Source organism: Homo sapiens, chromosome 20, assembly GCF_000001405.40.
Source record: "Homo sapiens chromosome 20, GRCh38.p14 Primary Assembly".
In the NCBI taxonomy this organism is placed as follows: domain Eukaryota; kingdom Metazoa; phylum Chordata; class Mammalia; order Primates; family Hominidae; genus Homo; species Homo sapiens.
In genome coordinates, this window is record NC_000020.11 from 25,178,030 (window position 1) to 25,197,005 (window position 18,976).

General features: G+C 45.5%; 1 protein-coding gene and 1 long non-coding RNA gene across 36 annotated transcripts in view, besides 4 other annotated features; one reads left to right on the forward strand and one right to left on the reverse strand.

The window, feature by feature from the left end:
- Positions 1 to 6,642: 6,642 nt before the first annotated feature.
- On the reverse strand, positions 6,643 to 18,863 carry LOC101926889 (uncharacterized). Its single transcript, NR_109994.1, has 6 exons — positions 18,594 to 18,863; positions 12,189 to 12,273; positions 9,824 to 9,918; positions 8,868 to 8,950; positions 8,513 to 8,670; positions 6,643 to 8,131 (listed from the first exon to the last, which is right to left on the reverse strand). It is a non-coding gene; the product is annotated as an uncharacterized LOC101926889 (long non-coding RNA).
- Positions 17,139 to 17,378: an enhancer, noted in NCBI's record as "active region_17660". NCBI's record gives its function as "activates an Ori minimal core promoter by ATAC-STARR-seq in GM12878 lymphoblastoid cells {active_cell/tissue: GM12878}" and the evidence as "EXISTENCE:reporter gene assay evidence [ECO:0000049][PMID:35858748]".
- Positions 17,519 to 17,938: a silencer, noted in NCBI's record as "silent region_12741". NCBI's record gives its function as "represses an Ori minimal core promoter by ATAC-STARR-seq in GM12878 lymphoblastoid cells {active_cell/tissue: GM12878}" and the evidence as "EXISTENCE:reporter gene assay evidence [ECO:0000049][PMID:35858748]".
- Positions 17,683 to 18,976, forward strand: part of ENTPD6 (ectonucleoside triphosphate diphosphohydrolase 6) — a 32,364-nt gene continuing 31,070 nt past the window's right edge. For 24 of the 35 annotated variants that reach the window (NM_001322390.2, NM_001322397.2, NM_001247.5 and 21 more), the window contains exon 1: positions 17,683 to 17,838. Coding sequence is in view for 14 of the 35 variants with exons in the window: in NM_001322393.2 (NP_001309322.2) it covers positions 17,836 to 17,838 (3 nt within the window). In the remaining 21 variants the exon portion in view is untranslated. Of the gene's footprint in view, positions 17,839 to 17,943; positions 18,226 to 18,976 lie in introns of those variants that run through there. The other 11 variants (XM_047440595.1, XM_047440594.1, XM_047440597.1 and 8 more) reach the window with 3 other exon arrangements.
- Positions 18,229 to 18,298: an enhancer, noted in NCBI's record as "active region_17661". NCBI's record gives its function as "activates an Ori minimal core promoter by ATAC-STARR-seq in GM12878 lymphoblastoid cells {active_cell/tissue: GM12878}" and the evidence as "EXISTENCE:reporter gene assay evidence [ECO:0000049][PMID:35858748]".
- Positions 18,679 to 18,828: an enhancer, noted in NCBI's record as "active region_17662". NCBI's record gives its function as "activates an Ori minimal core promoter by ATAC-STARR-seq in GM12878 lymphoblastoid cells {active_cell/tissue: GM12878}" and the evidence as "EXISTENCE:reporter gene assay evidence [ECO:0000049][PMID:35858748]".

Below are 18,976 nucleotides of genomic sequence, written 5' to 3' on the forward strand. Positions count from 1 at the left end.
CATATTTGTAACACCTAGGAGGTCTAAAATATTGGCAGGCAAGTTTGTTTATCCAACACTGAATGAGATCTGGATTTGCCAGTCACTGTGCCAAGCACAGGGAAGCAAAGGGACCTGAGGCCCAGACCCAGGCCTTTGTAGAATGTGCCCATTCCAGCAGGAGTGGCTGGAGGGCTCCCCACAGATAAGGACAGGATGGGGTGCTCTGTGCCAACTGGTGAAATGAGAACAACCGCAGGAATGCAGAGGAGGAAAAGGAATGTGTGTGGAAAAAAGACAAATGACACGGAGAAGTAGTAAGAGCAGAAAGACCCTGTTTAACGTGACCTTCAATGCATTTTCTTTGAGATGAGTGTGGGCTTGCCTGAAAAGGTGAGAAGACAAGATATGTTCAAGGCATTCAGCCATGATGGCACCATTACACTCCAACCTGGGCAACAGAGCAAGACCCGATCTCTGAGGGAAAAGAAAAAAAAAGAAAAAAGAAAAAAAAAAAATATATATATATATAATAATGACTTTTCTGTATTTAATTCATAAGTGAGAGGCTTCCAAACTTACCTTAAAAATGCACTATGTCAAGGCACAGTCTCTCACTTTTGACAGAACTTGTGAGGAAAATGCGAGCTGCAAAATGTTTTCCTGTCTGAGCCTCCTCTTCACGATGGGAATGCAGTGCTCAGGGAAACACATCCCAGCTCCATGAGAGAAGGGAGGGAGTAGACTAGTATGCTCTGAGCTCCCTTTCTGCTCCAAAACTCTAAGATTCCATGAGTTAGGGTGTCAGTGACCCTCCCCCAGTGGCCCTCAGACCCTAGCTTTCCAGCACCAACTCCAGTCAGCTCCAACTGCCTGTATCTCATCTCTGGGCCCGAAGGCTCTTTCAAGAACTTGAGTGTGCAGCAGGTCAGATATGCAGAGGGAATAGCACTCAACAATAACTGACAGGACCCAGTGTATAAACACTCCAGCACCCTCCTGCCTCAGGCTCAAAGCATTATGACTTATGACTCAAGGCATTGAGTCATCATTTGTAATAGAAAAACTTGGAAATATATGGCAAGATATGTAATAGCCACACAACACCTCTCTCTTCCTTTGGAGTGCAGTGGTGCAATCACAGCTCATTGCAGCTTCTCCAGCCTCAGCCTCTCCAGTAGCTAGAGGTCTTGCTATGTTGCCCAGCCGGTCTTGAAATCCTAGGCTCATGTGAACCTCCTCCTTGACCTCCCAAACTTCTGGGATTACAGGCGTGAGCCATGGTGCCAGGCCAAAAAAAAAATGTGTAGACAGCCCCAGCCTCCTCCTTGTGATACTATACTGCCGCCTAATGTCCTCTCAACAAATGACACCAAATACATTCTCCACGTGGATTCAGAAATTGTATAAACAAGGTTGAAGTTGAAACATTTTATTGTGATAGGAAAACATTTTGGAAACCAGTCTGCACATATGCACGTATGCTTGTGCATTTATGAAGTATATCTGGAGAACACAAATAAGCTGTTAACAGCAGATGCCTCCAGGAAAGGGAACTGGCAGGCTGAGAAATCTACCAAAATCATGGTGATGACGATGGTGATGACGTTATTTTGTATCTTTTAAATTTTGAGGCATACAATGTCCTGCTAATTGAAAAAAATTTTTAACTTAAAAAAACATTTATTAAATGTTGACGCTATGATGACTAAGGGGCCATCTTTTCTTCATTCATTGATTAGTGTTCTTAACAAATACTTACTGAATGCTTCCTGTGAGGGGGGCACTGTTTGGAGGAAAAACAGTGAGGAAGACACGCTCCCACCCTCCTGGAGCAGAGATGCTCAGAGGACTGCCCGGGACACCGCATGGTGAAGGTGGCCGAGCCCACGGCCTGGGTCTTAGGCTGGCCGGCCACGTGGAGCGGCACCCACCCAGCCCTGCTGCCGTGAGTCAGTGCCGTGGGGAGCAATCGCATGCATGGGCTTCAGACCTGCATTGGGCCTCTTTATTTGGGCACTTCAGCCTTATCCTAATTAATATGACACTTCACAAGCAGCATATAAGGGACATTTTATTCACCCAGCAGGTGCAGCACACACATTCTTCTCCAGTACCATGGAAAACTTGCAAAAAGTTACAAAGAGGGATACAAAGCTCATGTCAACAACCTCCACAGAGTGGATATCAGAGATGACACTCCCTGGCCCACAGCTCAATCAAGTGAGAATTCACTGATTAAAAGGTAAATTTAGAAATTAATTCAAAAATTTAAAAATGTTTCTTTTTTAATCTTTTTTTAAAGTTTATTAGCAATCTAAAAAAATACTGGTTATTTTTTTGACTTAAAGAAACCACTAACTTGCTAATCTCTAGGACATACAAGTTCCATTTATGGTCATGAACTTCATAGTAGGCCAAATGTAGGATTTAAAATCCAAGAAACAAAAAAAAAATTATAGAATTTTAACCTCACAATTATTTGAATGTCATTTTGGAAAAGTGCTACCTGAGACGCAGACACTGAGGACATACCTGTATGTACATGTTGGTCCTGACCTCCACCTCCCTTTGTACTCACACTAAGAAGTACCCCAGTTACTAGAGTAAACAGAATAGAAGGAAAGAAGCTGTGAATAATTACTTATGAGAAAGGGGACACGACCATGGCACAGGTGCTTCCTAACTCGTACTGTGACATACTCTCTCTTCAAAAACTGTCCTTAAATGTTTGAGGTGATGTATATCCTAGTTACCCTGATCTGATCATTACACATTGTACATATGTATCAAAATATCACATGTACCTCAAAAATACATAAAACTATGATATAGCAAGTTTTTTTAATACGTTAAGTTCTAGGGTACATGTGCACAACGTGCAGGTTTGTTACATAGGTATACATGTGTCATGTTGGTTTGCTGCACCCATTAACTTGTCATTTATATTAGGTATTTCTCCTAATGCTATCCCTCTCCCTGCCCCCTTCCCCACAACAGGTCCCAGTGTGTGATGTTCCCCACCCTGTATCCAAGTGTTCTCATTGTTCACTTCCCACCTATGAGTGAGAACATGCGGTGTTTGGTTTTCTGTGCTTGCAATAGTTTGCTCAGAATGATGGTTTCCAGCTTCATCCATGTGCCTGCAAAGGACATGAACTCATCATTTTTTATGGCTGCGTAGTATTCCATGGTGTACATGTGCCACATTTTCTTAATCCAGTCTATCATTGATGGACATTTGGGTTAGATCCAAGTCTTTGCTATTGTGAATAGTGCCTCAATAAACATAAGTGTGCATGTGTCTTTATAGTAGCATGATTTATAATCCTTTGGGTATATACCCAGTAATGGGATCGCTGAGTCAAATGGTATTTCTAGTTCTAGATCCTTGAGGAATTGCCACACTGTCTTCCACAATGGTTGAACTAGCTTACACTCCTACCAACAGTGTAAGTGTTCCTAGTTCTCCACATCCTCTCCAGCATCTGTTGTTTCCTGACTTTTTAATGATCGCCATTCTAACAGGTGTGAGATGTTATCTCATTGTGGTTTTGATTTGCATTTCTCTGATGACCAGTGATGATGAGCATTTTTTCATGTGTCTGTTGGTTGCATAAATGTCTTCTTTTGAGAAGTGTCTGTTCATATCCTTTGCCCACTTTTTGATAAGTTTGTTTTTATTCTTGTAAATTTGTTTAAGTTATTTGTAGATTCTGGATATTAGCCATATGTCAGATGGGTAGATTACAAAAATTTTCTCCCATTTTGTAGGTTGCCTGTTCACTCTGATAATAGTTTCTTTTGCTGTGCAGAAGCTCTTTAGTTTAATTAGATCCCATTTGTCAATTTTGGCTTTTGTTGTCATTGCTTTTGGTGTTTTAGTCATGAAGTCCTTGCCCATGCCTATGTCCTGAATGGTATTGCCTAGGTTTTCTTCTAGGGTTTTTATGGTTTTAGGTCTAACATTTAAGTCTTTAATCCATCTTGAATTAATTTTTTGTATAAGGTGTAAGGAAGGGACCCAGTTTCAGCTTTCTACATATGGCTAGCCAGTTTTCCCAGCACCATTTATTAAATAGAGAATCTTTTCCCCATTTCTTGTTTTTGTCAGGTTTGTCAAAGATCATATGGCTGTAGATGTGTGGTGTTATTTCTGAGGCCTCTGTTCTGTTCCATTGATCTATATCTCTGTTTTGGTACCAGTACCATGCTGTTTTGGTTACTGTAGCCCTGTAGTATAGTTTGAAGTCAGGTAGTGTGATGCCTCCAGCTTTGTTCTTTTTGCTTAGTATTCTCTTGGCTATGCAGGCTCTTTTTTGGTTCCATATGAACTTTAGTTTTTTCCAATTCTGTGAAGAAAGTCATTGGTAGCTTGATGGGGATGGCATTGAATCTATAAATTACCTTGGGCAGTATAGCCATTTTCATTATATTGATTATTTCTATCCATGAGCATGGAAAGTTCTTCCATTTGTCCTCTTTTATTTCTTTGAGCAGTGGTTTGTAGTTCTCCTTGAAGAGGTCCTTCATATCCCTTATAAGTTGGATTCCTAGGTTTTTTATTCTCTTTGTAGTAACTGTCAATGGGACTTCACTCATGATTTGGCTCTCTGTTTGTCTGTTTATTGGTGTATAGGAATGCTTGTGATTTTTGCACATTGATTTTGTATCCTGAGACTTTGCTGAAGTTGCTTATGAGCTTAAGGAGATTTTGGGCTGAGACAATGGGGTTTTCTAAATATACCATCATGTCATCTGCAAACAGGGACAATTTGACTTCCTCTTTTCCTCACTGAATACCCTTTATTTCTTTCTCTTGCCTGATTGCCCTGGCCAGAACTTCCAACACTATGTTGAATAGGAGTGGTGAGAGAGGGCATCCCTGTCTTGTGCCAGTTTTCAAAGGGAATGCTTCCAGTTTTTGCCCACTCAGTATGATATTGGCTGTGGGTTTGTCAAAAATAGCTCTTATTATTTTGAGATACGCTCCATCAATACCTAGTTTACTGAGAGTTTTTGGCATGAAGCACTGTTGAATTTTGTTGAAGGCCTTTTCTGCACCTATTGAGATAATCACGTGGTTTTTGTCATTGGTTCTATTTATGTGATGGATTATGTTTATTGATTTGCATATGTTGAACCAGCCTTGCATTCCAGGTATGAAGCTGACTTTATCATGGAGGATAAGCTTTTTGATGTGCTGCTGGATTTGGTTTGCCAGTATTTTATTGATGATTTTCACATCTACATTCATCAGGGATATTGGTCTAAAATTCTCTGTTTTTTGTTGTGTCTCTGCCAGGCTTTGGTATCAGGATGATGCTGGCCTCATAAAATGAGTTACGGAGGATTCCCTCTTTTTCTATTGATTGGAATAGTTTCAAAAGGAAGGGTAGCAGCTCCTCTTTGTCCCTCTGTTAGAATTCAGCCTTGAATCCATCTGTTCCTGGACTTTTTTTGGTTGGTAGGCTATTAATTAGTGCCTCAATTTCACAGCCTGTTATTGGTCTACTCAGAGATTCAACTTCTTCCTGGTTTAGTCTTGGGATGGTGTATGTATCCAGGAATTTATCCATTTCTTCTAGATTTTCTAGTTTATTTGCATAGAGGTGTTTATAGTATTCTCTGATGATAGTTTGTATTTCTGTGGGATCAGTAGTAATATCCCCTTTATCACTTTTTATTGCGTCTATTTGATTCTTCTCTCTTTTCTTCTTTGTTAATCTTGCTAGTGATCTATCAGTTTTGTTGATCTTTTCAAAAAACCCGCTCCTGGATTCATTGATTTTTTGAAGGGTTTTTTGTGTCTCTATCTCCTTCAGTTCTGCTCTGATCTTAGTTATTTCTTGCTTTCTGCTAGCTTTTGAATTTGTTTGCTCTTGCTTCTCTAGTTCTTTTAATTGTGATGTTAAGGTGTTGATTTTAGTTCTTTCCTGCTTTCTCTTGTGGGCATTTAGTGCTATAAATTTCCCTCTACACATTGCTTTAAATGTGTCCTGGAGATTCTGGTATGTTGTGTCTTTGTTCTCATTGGTTTCAAAGAACATCTTTATTTCTGCCTTCATTTCTTTATTTACCCAGTAGTCACTCAGGAGCAGGTTGTTCAGTTTCCATGTAGTTGTGCGGTTTTGAGTAAGTTTCTTAATCCTGAGTTCTAATTTGATTGCACTGTGGTCTGATAGACAGTTTGTTCTGATTTCTTTTCTTTTACATTTGCTGAGGAGTGCTTTACTTCCAACTGTGTGGTCAATTTTGGAATAAGTGCTATGTGGTGTTGAGAAGAATGTATATTCTGTTGATTTGGGGTGGAGAGTTCTGTAGATGTCTATTAGGTCTGCTTGGTGCAGAGCTGAGTTCAAGTCCTGGATATCCTTGTTAACCTTCTGTCTTGTTAATCTGTCTAATATTGACAGTGGGTGTTAAAGTCTCCCATTATTATTGTGTGGGAGTCCAAGTCTCTTTGTAGGTCTCTAAGGACTTGCTGTATGAATCTGGGTGCTCCTGTATTGTTGCATATATATTTAGGATAGTTAGCTCTTCTTGTTGCATTGATCTCTTTACCATTACGTAATGGCCTTCCTTGTCTCTTTTGATCTTTTGTTGGTTTAAAGTCTGTTTCATCAGAGACTAGGATTACAACCCCTGCTTTTTTTTTTTGCTTTCAATTTGCTTGGTAGATCTCCCTCCATCCCTTTATTTTGAGCCTATGTGTGTCTCTGCACATGAGATGGGTCTCCTGAATACAGCACACTAATGGGTCTTGACTCTTTATCCAATTTGCCAGTCTGTGTCTTTTAATTCGCGCATTTAGCCCATTTACTTTTAAGGTTAATATTATTATATGTGAATTTGATCCTGTCATTATGATGTTAACTGGTTATTTTGCCCGTTAGTTGATATAGTTTCTTCCTAGCATCGATGGTCTTTACAATTTGGCATGATTTTGCAGTGGCTGGTACTGGTTGTTCCTTTCCATGTTTAGTGCTTCTTTCAGGAGCTCTTGTAAGGTAGGCCTGGTGGTGACAAAATCTCTCAGCATTTGCTTGTCTGTAAAGGATTTTATTTCTCCTTCACTTATGAAACTTAGTTTGGCTGGATATGTGATTCTGGGTTGAAAATTCTTTTCTTTAAGAATGTTAAATATCGGCCCCCACTCTCTTCTGGCTTGTAGAGTTTCTGCTGAGAGATCTCCTGTTAATCTGATGGGCTTCCCTTTGTGGGTAACCCGACCTTTCTCTCTGGCTGGCCTTAACATTTTTTCCTTCATTTCAACCTTGGTGAATCTGATGATTATGTGTCTTGAGGCTGCTCTTCTCAAGGAGTATCTTTGTGGTGTTCTCTGTATTTCCTGAATTTGAATGTTGACCTGCCTTGCTAGGTTGGGGAAGTTCTCCTGGATAATATCCTGAAGAGTGTTTTCCAACTTGGTTCCATTCTCCCCATCACTTTCAGGTATACCAATCAAATGTAGATTTGGTCTTTTCACGTAGTCTTGTATTTCTTGGAGGCTTTGTTCATTTCTTTTTACTCTTTTTTCTCTAAACTTCTCTTCACCCTTTATTTCATTAATTTGATCATCAATCACTGATACCCTTTGTTCCACTTGATCGAATTGGCTATTGAAACTTGTGCATGCAACACATAGTTCTCATGCCATGGTTTTCAGCTCCATCACGTCATTTAAGGTCTTCTCTACACTGCTTATTCTAGTTAGCCCTTCGTCTAATCTTTTTTCAAGGTGTTTAGCTTCCTTGTAATGGTTTCAAACATCCTCCTCCTTTAGCTCAGAGAAGTTTGTTATTACCAACCTTCTGAAGCCTTCAGCTCATCAAAATCATTCTCCATCCAGCTTTGTTCCATTGCTGGTGAGGAGCTGCGATCCTTTGAAGGAGAAGAGGTGCTCTGGTTTTTAGAATTTTCAGCTTTTCTGCTCTGGTTTCTCCCCACCTTTGTGGTTTTATCTCTCTTTGGTCTTTGATGTTAGTGACCTACAGATGGGGTTTTGGTGTGGATGTCCTTTCTGTTGATGTTGATGCTATTCCTTTCTGTTTGTTAGTTTTCCTTCTAACAGGTCCCTCAGCTGCAGGTCGGTTGGAGTTTGCTGAAGGTCCATGCCAGACCCTGTTTGCCTGGGTATCACCAGCGGAGGCTGCAAAACAGCAAATATTGCAGAACAGTAAATATTGCTGCCTGATCCTTCCTCTGGAAGCTTCATCCCAGAGGGGCACCCACCTGTATGAGATGTCAGTTGGCCCCTACTGGGAGATGTCTCCCAGTCAGGCTACACGGGGGTGAGAGACCCACTTGAGGAGTCAGTCTGTTCATTCTCAGAGCTCAAACACCATGCTGGGAGAACCACTGCTCTCTTCAGAGCTGTCAGACAGGGATGTTTAAGTCTGCAGAAGTTTCTGCTGCCTTTTGTTCTGCTATGCCCTGCCCCCAGCAGTAGAGACTACAAAGGCAGCAGGCCTTGCTGAGCTGCAGTGGGCTCTGCCCAGTTCAAGCTTCCCCAGCCGCTTTGTTTACCTACTCAAGCTGCAGCAATGGCAGACGCCCCTTCCCCTGCTAGGCTGCTGCCTCACAGGTTGATCTCAGACTGCTGCACTAGCAGTGAGCAAGACTCCATAGGCGTGGGATCCACCGAGCCATGTGCGGGATATAATCTCCTGGTGTGCCATTTGCTAAGACCTTTGGAAAAGCACAGTATTTGGGGGAGAGTGTCCCGTTTTTCCAGGTACAGTCTGTCACGGCTTCCTTTGGCTAGGAAAGGGAAATCCCCCAACCCCTTGTTGTTCCCAGGTGAGGCAATGCCCCACCCTGCTTTGGCTCGCCCTCTGTGGGCTGCACCCACTGTCCAACCAGTCCCAATGAGAAGAACCAGGTACCTCAGTTGGAAATGCAGAAATCACCCATCTTCTGCGTGGATCATGCTGGGAGCTGCAGACTGGAGCTATTCTTATCTGGCCATCTTGGAATGGAGAGAGCAAAAATATTTCTAAATAACACATGGACAGAGAAACACTGTAATAGTGGACTTTAGAAAATGTTCCAAACTGACAATTACAAAAATACAATACAGCCAAATGTGTGGGACAGAGCTACAAGGGTGCTTATAGGAAATGCAAAGCTCTAACTGCATTTCTTATAAGATAGGCTGAAAGTTGACTTCGAGTAAGACAGCAGCACATAGCTCCCACTGGGCAGCCTGGCTTGGGGCTCCCTAGTAGGGATGGTTTTTGAGGGGGACCTTGTCATAGTTCTGGGGTCATGTGGAGGACACTCTGGTGTTACTGTTTCCAGTGCACCAAGGGTGAGTGTCTTCTGGTTACCTAGCTACCTTGGCCCAAGCATTCTGGAGCCTGGGAGACTGGGAGCCAGGAGATAGGTGGGAGGAGGGGCAGGCCCCAGGTAATAGGAGAGCAGGGCTAAGGAACAAAGATAGCCAGCCTGAGGCAGCTCCCTCAGCCTCTGTGCTGAGAAATCTCGTACTCCACTTCTCCGCCCTGAGAAAGCTTGCTGTCTGGAATCCTGTCGCCTGCAGATGCTCAGCCATGCAGGCCACTCCACACAGAGAAGCAGCCTGGAGCTCTCACCTTGGCTCACAGCCTCAGATAAGGGGCTTCCAGATACAACATGGTGCATTTGTCTTGAGCTCGGGCCCCCAAGTCAGCCTCTCAGCCCAGTGTGATGTGTCACCCTGTGACCCACAGCCCTGCTTTCAGCCTGTCAGAAACGGCTTCATTTTAAACTTCACCTGAACTCCTCCCTTCTCCGCAATCCTGTCTATCCCATGCTGAAGGCAGGAGGCCTCTGATGTGGCTTCCTCGCTGCAGTTACTAACCCTCACTTTGTCGTGGACAGCTGTGCCCTGGCGCCATTCACTGAAGGGGCTTTATCAGTCTTCAGAAACACCCTTCCTGAGCGTGAGGTGCTGGGCTGTAAAATATACATACATTCTTTAAAAAGGCAAATGCTTGATGATACAGTGCTATTTGGACTTCATTTTTTTGAACCTTTGCAATGCCCTTTCTCAACAAAACAAAACAAAATTTGACTTGGATTCTTAGATAATGGAATTGGCTGCAGGAAGCATTTGTTTTATCACCCCTTGAATGTTAACAATAACCCTGAGAGAGCTATCTGTACTGAGCATGAAGGAAATAATATATACAGTGGTCCATTTCCAAGACAAAGTGCCTTGAATTGGTTTAGGTCAGCAAACTACAGAAGAAACAGGATACACTAGGCCCCTGCTTGGATAGCCAATGCCTGCTTGTCGCCTCCCCACCCTCCACCCTACCCCACTGCCTTAGTTGCCCTCACCCAAACCAAAGGAGTTTAGTCTAAGATGAAAGTTTACTAGCTTGCAAAATAGCTCACTTTGTCTGTTCTTATCAGCCTGCCCAGATACTTAGGTCATAAGTCAAGTACTTGAAGAGCCCTTGAGCTAACTAGGATTGCAATGTATTATGGCTGCAACAAAATGCAGCAGAACAATCCTAAAGAAAATGCCTAAAACCCCTACCCAACAACCAATAGGCAATGTCCAGGAAGACTGTGACCCCATAGTACTCAGCCTATGAGGAACCAAGGGAGGGACCTGCACACTAGGGGATAAATTGCTTTTGAAACTGTACTGGGTGTGCCTGCCCATCAGACACCCGATCTTGCAAGATTGTCATTAAAGTCTCGCTTCCACTGTTCTCTGGGTCTCTGAGCCCAAACTTTGGGTTTGGACCAGTGAGTTTGTTTCTCACAGCATGACCTACTCTCCACCATGATGTGCAGCATTGCAGTGAGCAGAGAACAGCCTCCCTTCCCACTCACCCACCTGCCTCTTGGTTAGACATAAGTTCTCTTGTAACTTCTTTTGCTTCATTTATTTTAAATAAGAATAATAAAGTTTTAGTCTTTAATTTAAAAAAAGAAGATAGGCTAAAAATTAATATGTGTTCAGCTTAAACTAGAAAATTTTAAAAAACAACACACTCTAAGTACAAAGAAAGAAATAATAAAGATGAAATAAATTTAAAAATATTAAACAAAGATACAGAGGAGTTCCACAAAGCCAAAAGTTAGCTCTTGGGGAAGAGAAGTAATAAAACTTAGGCATTTCTGGAGATGCTGACCAAGAAAAAAAGGAAAATTTACAAATTAATTATTATGAGTGAAATGGAGGCTATCGCTGCAAATGCTAAGAAGATGTGAATAATGTTATACCAGTAACACTGAAAACTTAGGTGAAATGTGATGATTCCTTTAGAAAGATGCCAAAACTGCCTGCGAAAGAAGTAGAAAGCTTGATTAGAAATAGAATCAGCAGTTTAAAATATTTCACACAGAAAACAGAAATATTCCATCAAATATTCAAGAAATAGAAACTTCAAAACTTAAACCCATTTAGAAGATTTAAAGGCAGAAAATCTCCAACTCATTCTGTAAGGCTAATTTAATCTTGATAGTTTCTAAACAAGTACTATATTAGAAAGAACATTAGAAGCCAATCTTTTTGTGAATGTAGGAGCAAAGAACCTAAACACAATGTTAGCAAGTCAAATCCAGCAATGTATTTTAAAAGTATGCTTATTTGGGAATGCGGGAATGATTCAACGTTAGAACTTATCATATTAACAAATTAGTGGGCCGGCGCGGTGGCTCACGCCTGTAATCCCAGCACTTTGGAAGGTTGAGGCAGGTGGATTGCCTGAGGTCAGGAGTTCGAGACCAGTCTGGCCAACATGGTGAAACCCCGTCTCTACTAAAAATACAAAAGAATTAGCTGGGCATGCCAGCGTGTGCCTGTAATCCCAGCTACTTGGGAGGCTGAGGCAGGGGAATTGCTTGAACCAGGGAGGTGGAGGTTGCAGTGAGCCAAGATCATGCCACTGCACTCCAGCCTGGGTGACAGAGCGAAACTCCATCTCAAACAAAAAAGAAAATTAGTGGAGAAAAATAATAATATCATGTATAGATGAAGGAAATGCACAAAATAAAACTGAACATTCATTAATGATTTTTTAAAACTCTTAAACTAGAAATAGAAGAACATTTTCTTAATCTGGTAGACGACAACCTATACAATGTAAAATGCTAAAGGCCCTCATGGAGAGAAGACAGTCCATTAACAGCTACTCTAAATGGGACAATCTGTTCACACCAGTCTCCCCCTACCAGGACAGTCGACCAATTGCCAAGAACAGTATTACCTGTTTTACAGCTGCACTTCATGTGGTCCCAACAAGACTATCACTACAGTGCAAGATGACATCTGTTGGATCATCCATCGGGAAGCTAAAAGAGACCACACAATGGCCCATGTGGCAGGCAGGAATCATAAATGCCAAGTTCTCTTGGGGAAGAGTAGGGTTTCCCTCACATTTTTTCTTGTTTGTAGTAGATTTTGGAAAATGGAAGGCTAGCCATGAGCAGGGAAGATCTGACTTTTTTGGTGAGTTACAGGAAAAATATTTGGTAGAGAAAGCAGTGATTTGTGGTTATAGATTTCAGGGAACCAAAGGAAGAAATCAGAGCAGTGGCTAAGATGTTTTGTTTGATATTATTAACAAATGACCTATGAGTGATGGTATCTTAGGTTGAATTCTTCCAAAACAAATTCTAAAGAATGATTTGAGTGCAAGTAGTTTATTTAGGAGGTGACACCAGGAAAAACCAGTAGAGGAGTGGGGCAGTGAGACAGGGAAGGGAGGAAAGCCAGTGTGGGTTACCGCTCTGGACCACTGTGTTCAATGCCAAGTAGACATGCCGGAGAGTTGTCCTGAGTGGAAAGGGAGCCAGGGTCTTTGCACCTGACATGGGCTGAAACTGCTCTCAGAAGCATTACCTCCTGGCACTTCCTCTGCCAAAAGAAGGCCCTGCTGTGGAGAGTCACGGGAGCACACAGTGGGACAGACACAGGCAGGAGGCCTGGCAGCCTCTGCTACAGAGACACTGCACAGTCCATGTTCTGTTCCTTCACTGAGCAGACAGCTTTGCAGCTGTCCTCCTGGACTTTTGTGAGTAGGTGGACACATGTGAGCAAGCCACACACAATAGAGGGCTTCCTCCACTATTACTCAAGTTAGGTAAATTGAGGCAGCTTGGTAACTCACCAACCTCTTCTAAAACATTCTCACCCCCAAAAAGCAGGGCCAGGCACTCCCCCCTGCTGTCAGAACACTTGCATACATGTTCTGCTGGAGCCCATGTCTCAGTTATCTGCTCCTGCATTCCTAGGGCGGGTGCCAATTGGCTTCCTTCACCTTCTGCCTGCAGGGCTGAGCTGCTTCTGGCTGACAAGTGAAAACATTAGAAGCACCCTCATCAATCCATCCATTTCTTCAAGAAATATTTTATATGTTGACTTCATTTGAGTTTACCCAAAGGCAGTTTGAGTCAAGAGCTTAGATGCAGGTAGTTGACCTGGGAGGTGATTCCCAGAAGCAGGAGAGAGAGAGAGAGAGAGAACCGAGAAAGATCGGAGGACCAACCCAAGGGGGCATTACTGAGCTGATCACCACTAAGGGTCACTGAGGCTCACTTCTACTGAGGACTCAGAATTGGTCCTCTGGGGACAGAAGGCTGAGGTATATATCCCCAGTTAATTAAGGGTTGCTGTGAAGGAGGTTCACTGTGCATTGGTTACCAACATGTCTGTGTCCAGTGAGAGAGAACGCATTCATACTCAATAAGTTATATGAAGCAAATTTATTACTTACAGACAGGCAGCAAGGGACAAGAGGAGCATTCATTGCAAGCTGGTTGCCTGAGGCTCAGGAAATCTGCTCAGGGCAAATGGAGTCTCAACTGGGCATGCCCCACTTGCACCACAGACGAGGAATGCCAGAGAGCAGCCTGCCCTGGGTTTAACATCCCAGGGTAATGTGATTTGCTGGGCAGTGTTGAAGGACATCCTATTTTCAGCAGGAGACTGGAACTGACCTTGGGCTGTTCAGCCAGTTCTCCCTTATCTCAAGATGCTGCAATCCTAGCACATTCTGCAGTTATTCCTGAGAACTACATGGTAAAAAGGGGACTGGGTCTGTCCAAGGCCACCCAAACTGCCCTGCAGTTGCCCCGGGGATGTTAAATTTCCCTGAATTCCAGGCTGCGCCTGCTCCCAAGGCTTCCGGAGAAAGTCGTAAGATAAGCCCTAAAGAGGACAGCAACGAGATGCTTGAGGTGGCAGCATTCAGGGGAACTCTCCACAACAATCAGAGAGCTGACGGCAGAGGCAGGCAAGGGACATTAGCACCAATAATGTATGCTACAGGCACCTACCATGTTCTAGACAGAGTGCCAGACATGCAGCAGTGAGCAGGACAGACCAACTTATTTGTTCTCATGGAGCTTCATTTCAGTAGTGGAACAAAGAATTTACCAATAAACAAGTCAGCAAACAAGTAATGACGGGTGTTGTGTCTTTGCAAAAATTATGACAATAAGAAAAATATGACATAGGAAAATTACAACAGTGAAAGAAAGCTGGCCTAACCGACTCCATCTTCTAACCTCCAATCTGCCTTTGCACATTCCTGGGCATAGGCCAAACAAATCTGTGGAGAAACTTAGTTTATAATTTCACTTTAAACCAAATATAACAGCCCCCCCCTGAAACAAACCTCCTTCTTGCTTGGGGACCAGACCACCTTTGTGAAACTAACAAATTAGCCACAAGATTAAAATTTATGGGCCGGGCGCGATGGCTCACACCTGTAATCCCAGCACTTTGGGAGGCCAGGGTGGGCAGATCACCTGAGGTCAGTAGTTCAAGACCAGCCTGGCCAACATGGTGAAACCCTGTCTCTACTAAAAATATAAAAATTAGCCGGGCGTGGTGGCAGGTGCCTGTAATCCCAGCTACTCAGGAGGCTGAGGCAGGATAATTGCTTGAACCCGGGAGGCAGAGGTTGCAGCGAGCCGAGATCACACCATTGCACTCCAGCCTGGGGGACAAGAGCAAGACTTCATCTCAAAAAAAAAAAAAAAAAAAAATTATGGCTTAGGAGTCATGCAGCCCGAAGCCACAAGATTCCTAACCTCCATAATTGCTCCAATAGATAATATTACTATTATATAACATAAGATTGGTGTTCAAGGTATTTTTCAGACCCCACATTGTGATGGACTAGCCACCCAGACTGGTAAACTGGCTATCTCGTCTTGTGACCCCAACCCAGGAACTAACCCAGAGCAAGACGAAAGCTTCATCTCTTCAGGATTTCATCCCTAACCCAACCAATCAGCACTCACCATTCCCTAGCCCCCTGACTGCTAAACTATCTTTTAAAAACCCTAGCCTCCAGACTGGCACAATCCCAGCACTTTGGGAGGCCAAGGAGGGCAAATCACTTGAGAGCAGGAGTTCGAGACCAGCCTGGCCAACACGGTGAAACCCCGTCTCTACTAAAAATACAAATAATTAGCTGGGCATGGTGGTGTGCGCTTGTAATCCCAGCTACTTGTAAGGCTGAGGCATGAGAATCGCTTGAACAGGAGGTGGAGGTTGCAGTAAGCCTAGACTGCACCACTGCACTCCAGCCTGGACAACAAAGCAAGACACTGTCTCAAAAACAAACCCCCCCCAAAAAATTCCTTAGACTCCGAATTTGAGGAGAGGCTGATTTGAGGAGTAATAAGCCTCTGCTCTCCTGGTTAGCCAGCTCTATGTGTATCGAACTCTTTATTGCAATTCCCATCTTGAAAAATTGGCTCTATCTGGGCGACAGGCAAGAAGAAGCTGTTGGGTGGTTACAGTGTGATGAGTGCTATGAAGGAAATAACATAAAAGGTGACAGAGAATAACTAGAGGAGGCCATTCTAGATAAAATGGTCTGAGGAGGTGACATTTGAGCTGAGTATTAAACATTGAGAAACAATCTACGAAGGGAAGATGTGGTGCAAGACCTTTCCAAGCAGTGTATAATACACACAAAAGCCCATGCCAGCAAAAAGATTTTACTTTCACAAATTCTAGAAACTCTAAGAGTAAAAAGTGGTGAAAAGAAAGGAAGTGATAACACATGTTGCCAAGTGCAGCAGGCAGAAACAGGGCCATCACCACTTCACGACAGGATCTCAAAATACTAGGAAGTGTAAATTAAAACCATGAGATATAGTTTTGTCATTATTGGATTGGGAAAGATCCAAAAGTTTGGAAAGACCCCACTGGTGAAGATGTGTGGAAACCCACAGTCTTACACATTATTTGCCAGAGTGTAAATTAGTACAGTGTCTAAGGGGGGCAATTTAGCCACGTTTGGCTAATATATTATTTTAAAGGACATATCCCACCATAGCCAATTCCACCTCTAAGAATATTTCTGACAGATATACCCACATGCATGCACAAAGACAATCCACGGGATCCAGTCACATTATTCCTAACCCAAAGCAACTGGGAAACACTTCAAGGTCCATCAGTGAAGGCCCGCATAGGCTAACCTCTGTAATAACCAAATCTCAGTGGCAGTGTCCAACCAGGTGCTTGTGGGCGACCTTCCAACAGGCACCGCATTGCCCGGCTGCCAGGCCGGGCCTGTGTACTGTCCCCGCATCCCATACAGCTAGCACTTATTCACCCTCAAAAGCGTCCCATCCTGAAAATAAACTCTTGCCCACTTGGTGCTTCAGGAACCTGGGCTTCTTCCACTAATAGCTCTCCCAGATGCCCCAGTGCGCAGGTGGGGCCGTCCTCTAGGACCAGGCCTGGCTGGGGCGCACCCACACCTCCTTGGCCAGACGCCATGGGCCGGGAAGGGGCTCTGGCCCTTGCGGGAATGAGGGCGCCTAGCATAGGTGTGCAAGTGGGCAGCCCCCACCGTGGGGTCCTTAAGTAAGCTGGAGCCTGTGAGCCAGGACAGTCAGGAGTTGCAACCTTGGTGATTTCTAGGAAGACAGAAAATGGGGTCAAGGGCCGGGTGTGGTGGCTTATGCCTATAGACCCAGCACTTTGGGAGGCCGAGGCAGGCGGATCACCTTAGGTCAGGAGTTCGAGACCAGCCTGACCAACAGGGCGAAACCTCGTCACTACTAAAGGTACAAAAATTAGCCAGGCGTGGTGGCGCACACCTGTAATCCCAGCTACTCAGGAAGCTGAGGCAACAGAATCGCTTGAACCCGGGAGGCAGAGGTTGCAGTGAGCTGAGACCACATCACTGCACTCCAGCCTGGGTGAGAACCTGTTAAAAAAAAAAATAAGAAAATGGGGTCAAGAAACGGTGGGAGGAGGGCAGATTTCATGAACCTGCCTGCTATGATGTGGCTGCATTTCCATCATGCATTGTCCTAAAAAAAGAAAAAGAAAAAAATAAAATGTAGACGTGGAGGGATGGGGGAAATTGCACAGGCCGGTCCAGGCTGTGAGGCTGCCCCCTACCAGGGACGACGAGGGCCAGCTCCGCCGCGCCGTAAGGAAACTGGCCAAGGGAACCCCTTGAATCTGGCGAGGGCCCGCCATGAGACGCTCGGGGAACCAGACTGCCGAGCCCCCCTCTCTGGGCCGACGCCAGCCCGGCTGTGGACTGGAGAAAACCGCAAGGCCACCTGCAGAAAGAAAAGAAGGCCATCGCGCCTACGCAGCTGAGCACCCATACTCCGCCCGCGCCTGCGCAACTGGGTCCCCCGACCCCCACCTCCTCTCCCGCCTGCGCATGCGCGGCTGGGTGCGCCCCCCCGCCCAGCCTGTGACGCCACGTGCATGGGGCGGAGCCCAGGCCCTAGGGAATCGTGGGGTCGTATCCCGCGGGTGGAGGCCGGGGTGGCGCCGGCCGGGGCGGGGGAGCCCAAAAGACCGGCTGCCGCCTGCTCCCCGGAAAAGGGCACTCGTCTCCGTGGGTGTGGCGGAGCGCGCGGTGCATGGTAAGCGGCGGGCCGGGGCGCTGGCGGGGGCGGCCGGGGATCACCGACTGTAGGCGGGCCTCCCCCACGCGGGCGCGCTGCGCTCCGGAGGACGGCCTCGGGGTCACTCGCACCCCGGGTCCCACCTCCTGCTGCCTTCCTGTCCAGGCTCCATTAGGGCTCCCTGGATGTCTGGGCTCCGCTGACCGGTGGGGGGCAAGTCCAGTGTTTTGGGCCACAGGGCGGGCCAAATAGCAGGGGCCTGTAGCCCCAGGGGGCCCCAGCCCTGCTGCGTTCATTCATTCAGCCCGCTTTTGCGGACCCGCCCCCAGTCTGCGTCAGGGACAGACCCCTCCGCCCTGGATGAGCCCGGCGGGGAAGCTTCGCGTAGCAGTTTCTGGGAAACAGGTAGGATCAGGCCGCTCGGACAGGACTGAGGGTGTAAGGACGATTCACCCTGGCATTGGGGTGGTGTCCCGAGGAGCTCATAGGTGGTCAGGGCGGTTCTGCCCGAGCTGACCTGTGAGCCGCGAATGCCCTGGACCGAGGGAGGGAGAGCCCCCTAGGTGGACAGACTAGACTCCTTCAGTGGAAAACATTCAACAGCCAGGAGAGCGTGGAAGAGGAAGGAGAGATGGGAGGGCCCAGGGGAGCGTGGAAGGGAGGGTGTTTTTATTATAAGTGCACCTGTAAGTGCAAAGTGCAAAGGAAGCAGCCGCCGGGAAGTGCCTGGGCAGCTCTGGGTGTCCCTCCAGGCACCTGTATTCCAGCCTTACCTGCGCGAAGCCACACATCCCACGTCACACAGGATACGGGGAAGTCAGCCATAGCCTGCAGGCGGGGAATCTGAAACCTCGCGCAGGAGTTCCTTGGGAGAGGTGGATTACAAGGACTCTTCCTCCCACCCGCTGTGCAAGAGCCATGGGCGGCCGGTAGTCATTTTTGAAGGACCTGGCAAGCACTGTACAAATCTCAAAATTGCTTTTTGTCCCCCTCCCCTTGCCTTGGAGAGAGTGGCTGGCTAGTGTGTGTGTCGTCTGCCTCCTGAAGGTTCGGGTAAAGGACCAGGGAGGTGGGCAGCCCTTTGTGTCAGGAGATCTGGAAGCGCCTCCCCTCCCACCGCCTCCTGTGTAAAGGAAACAGCAGGTGGTGTTGACGG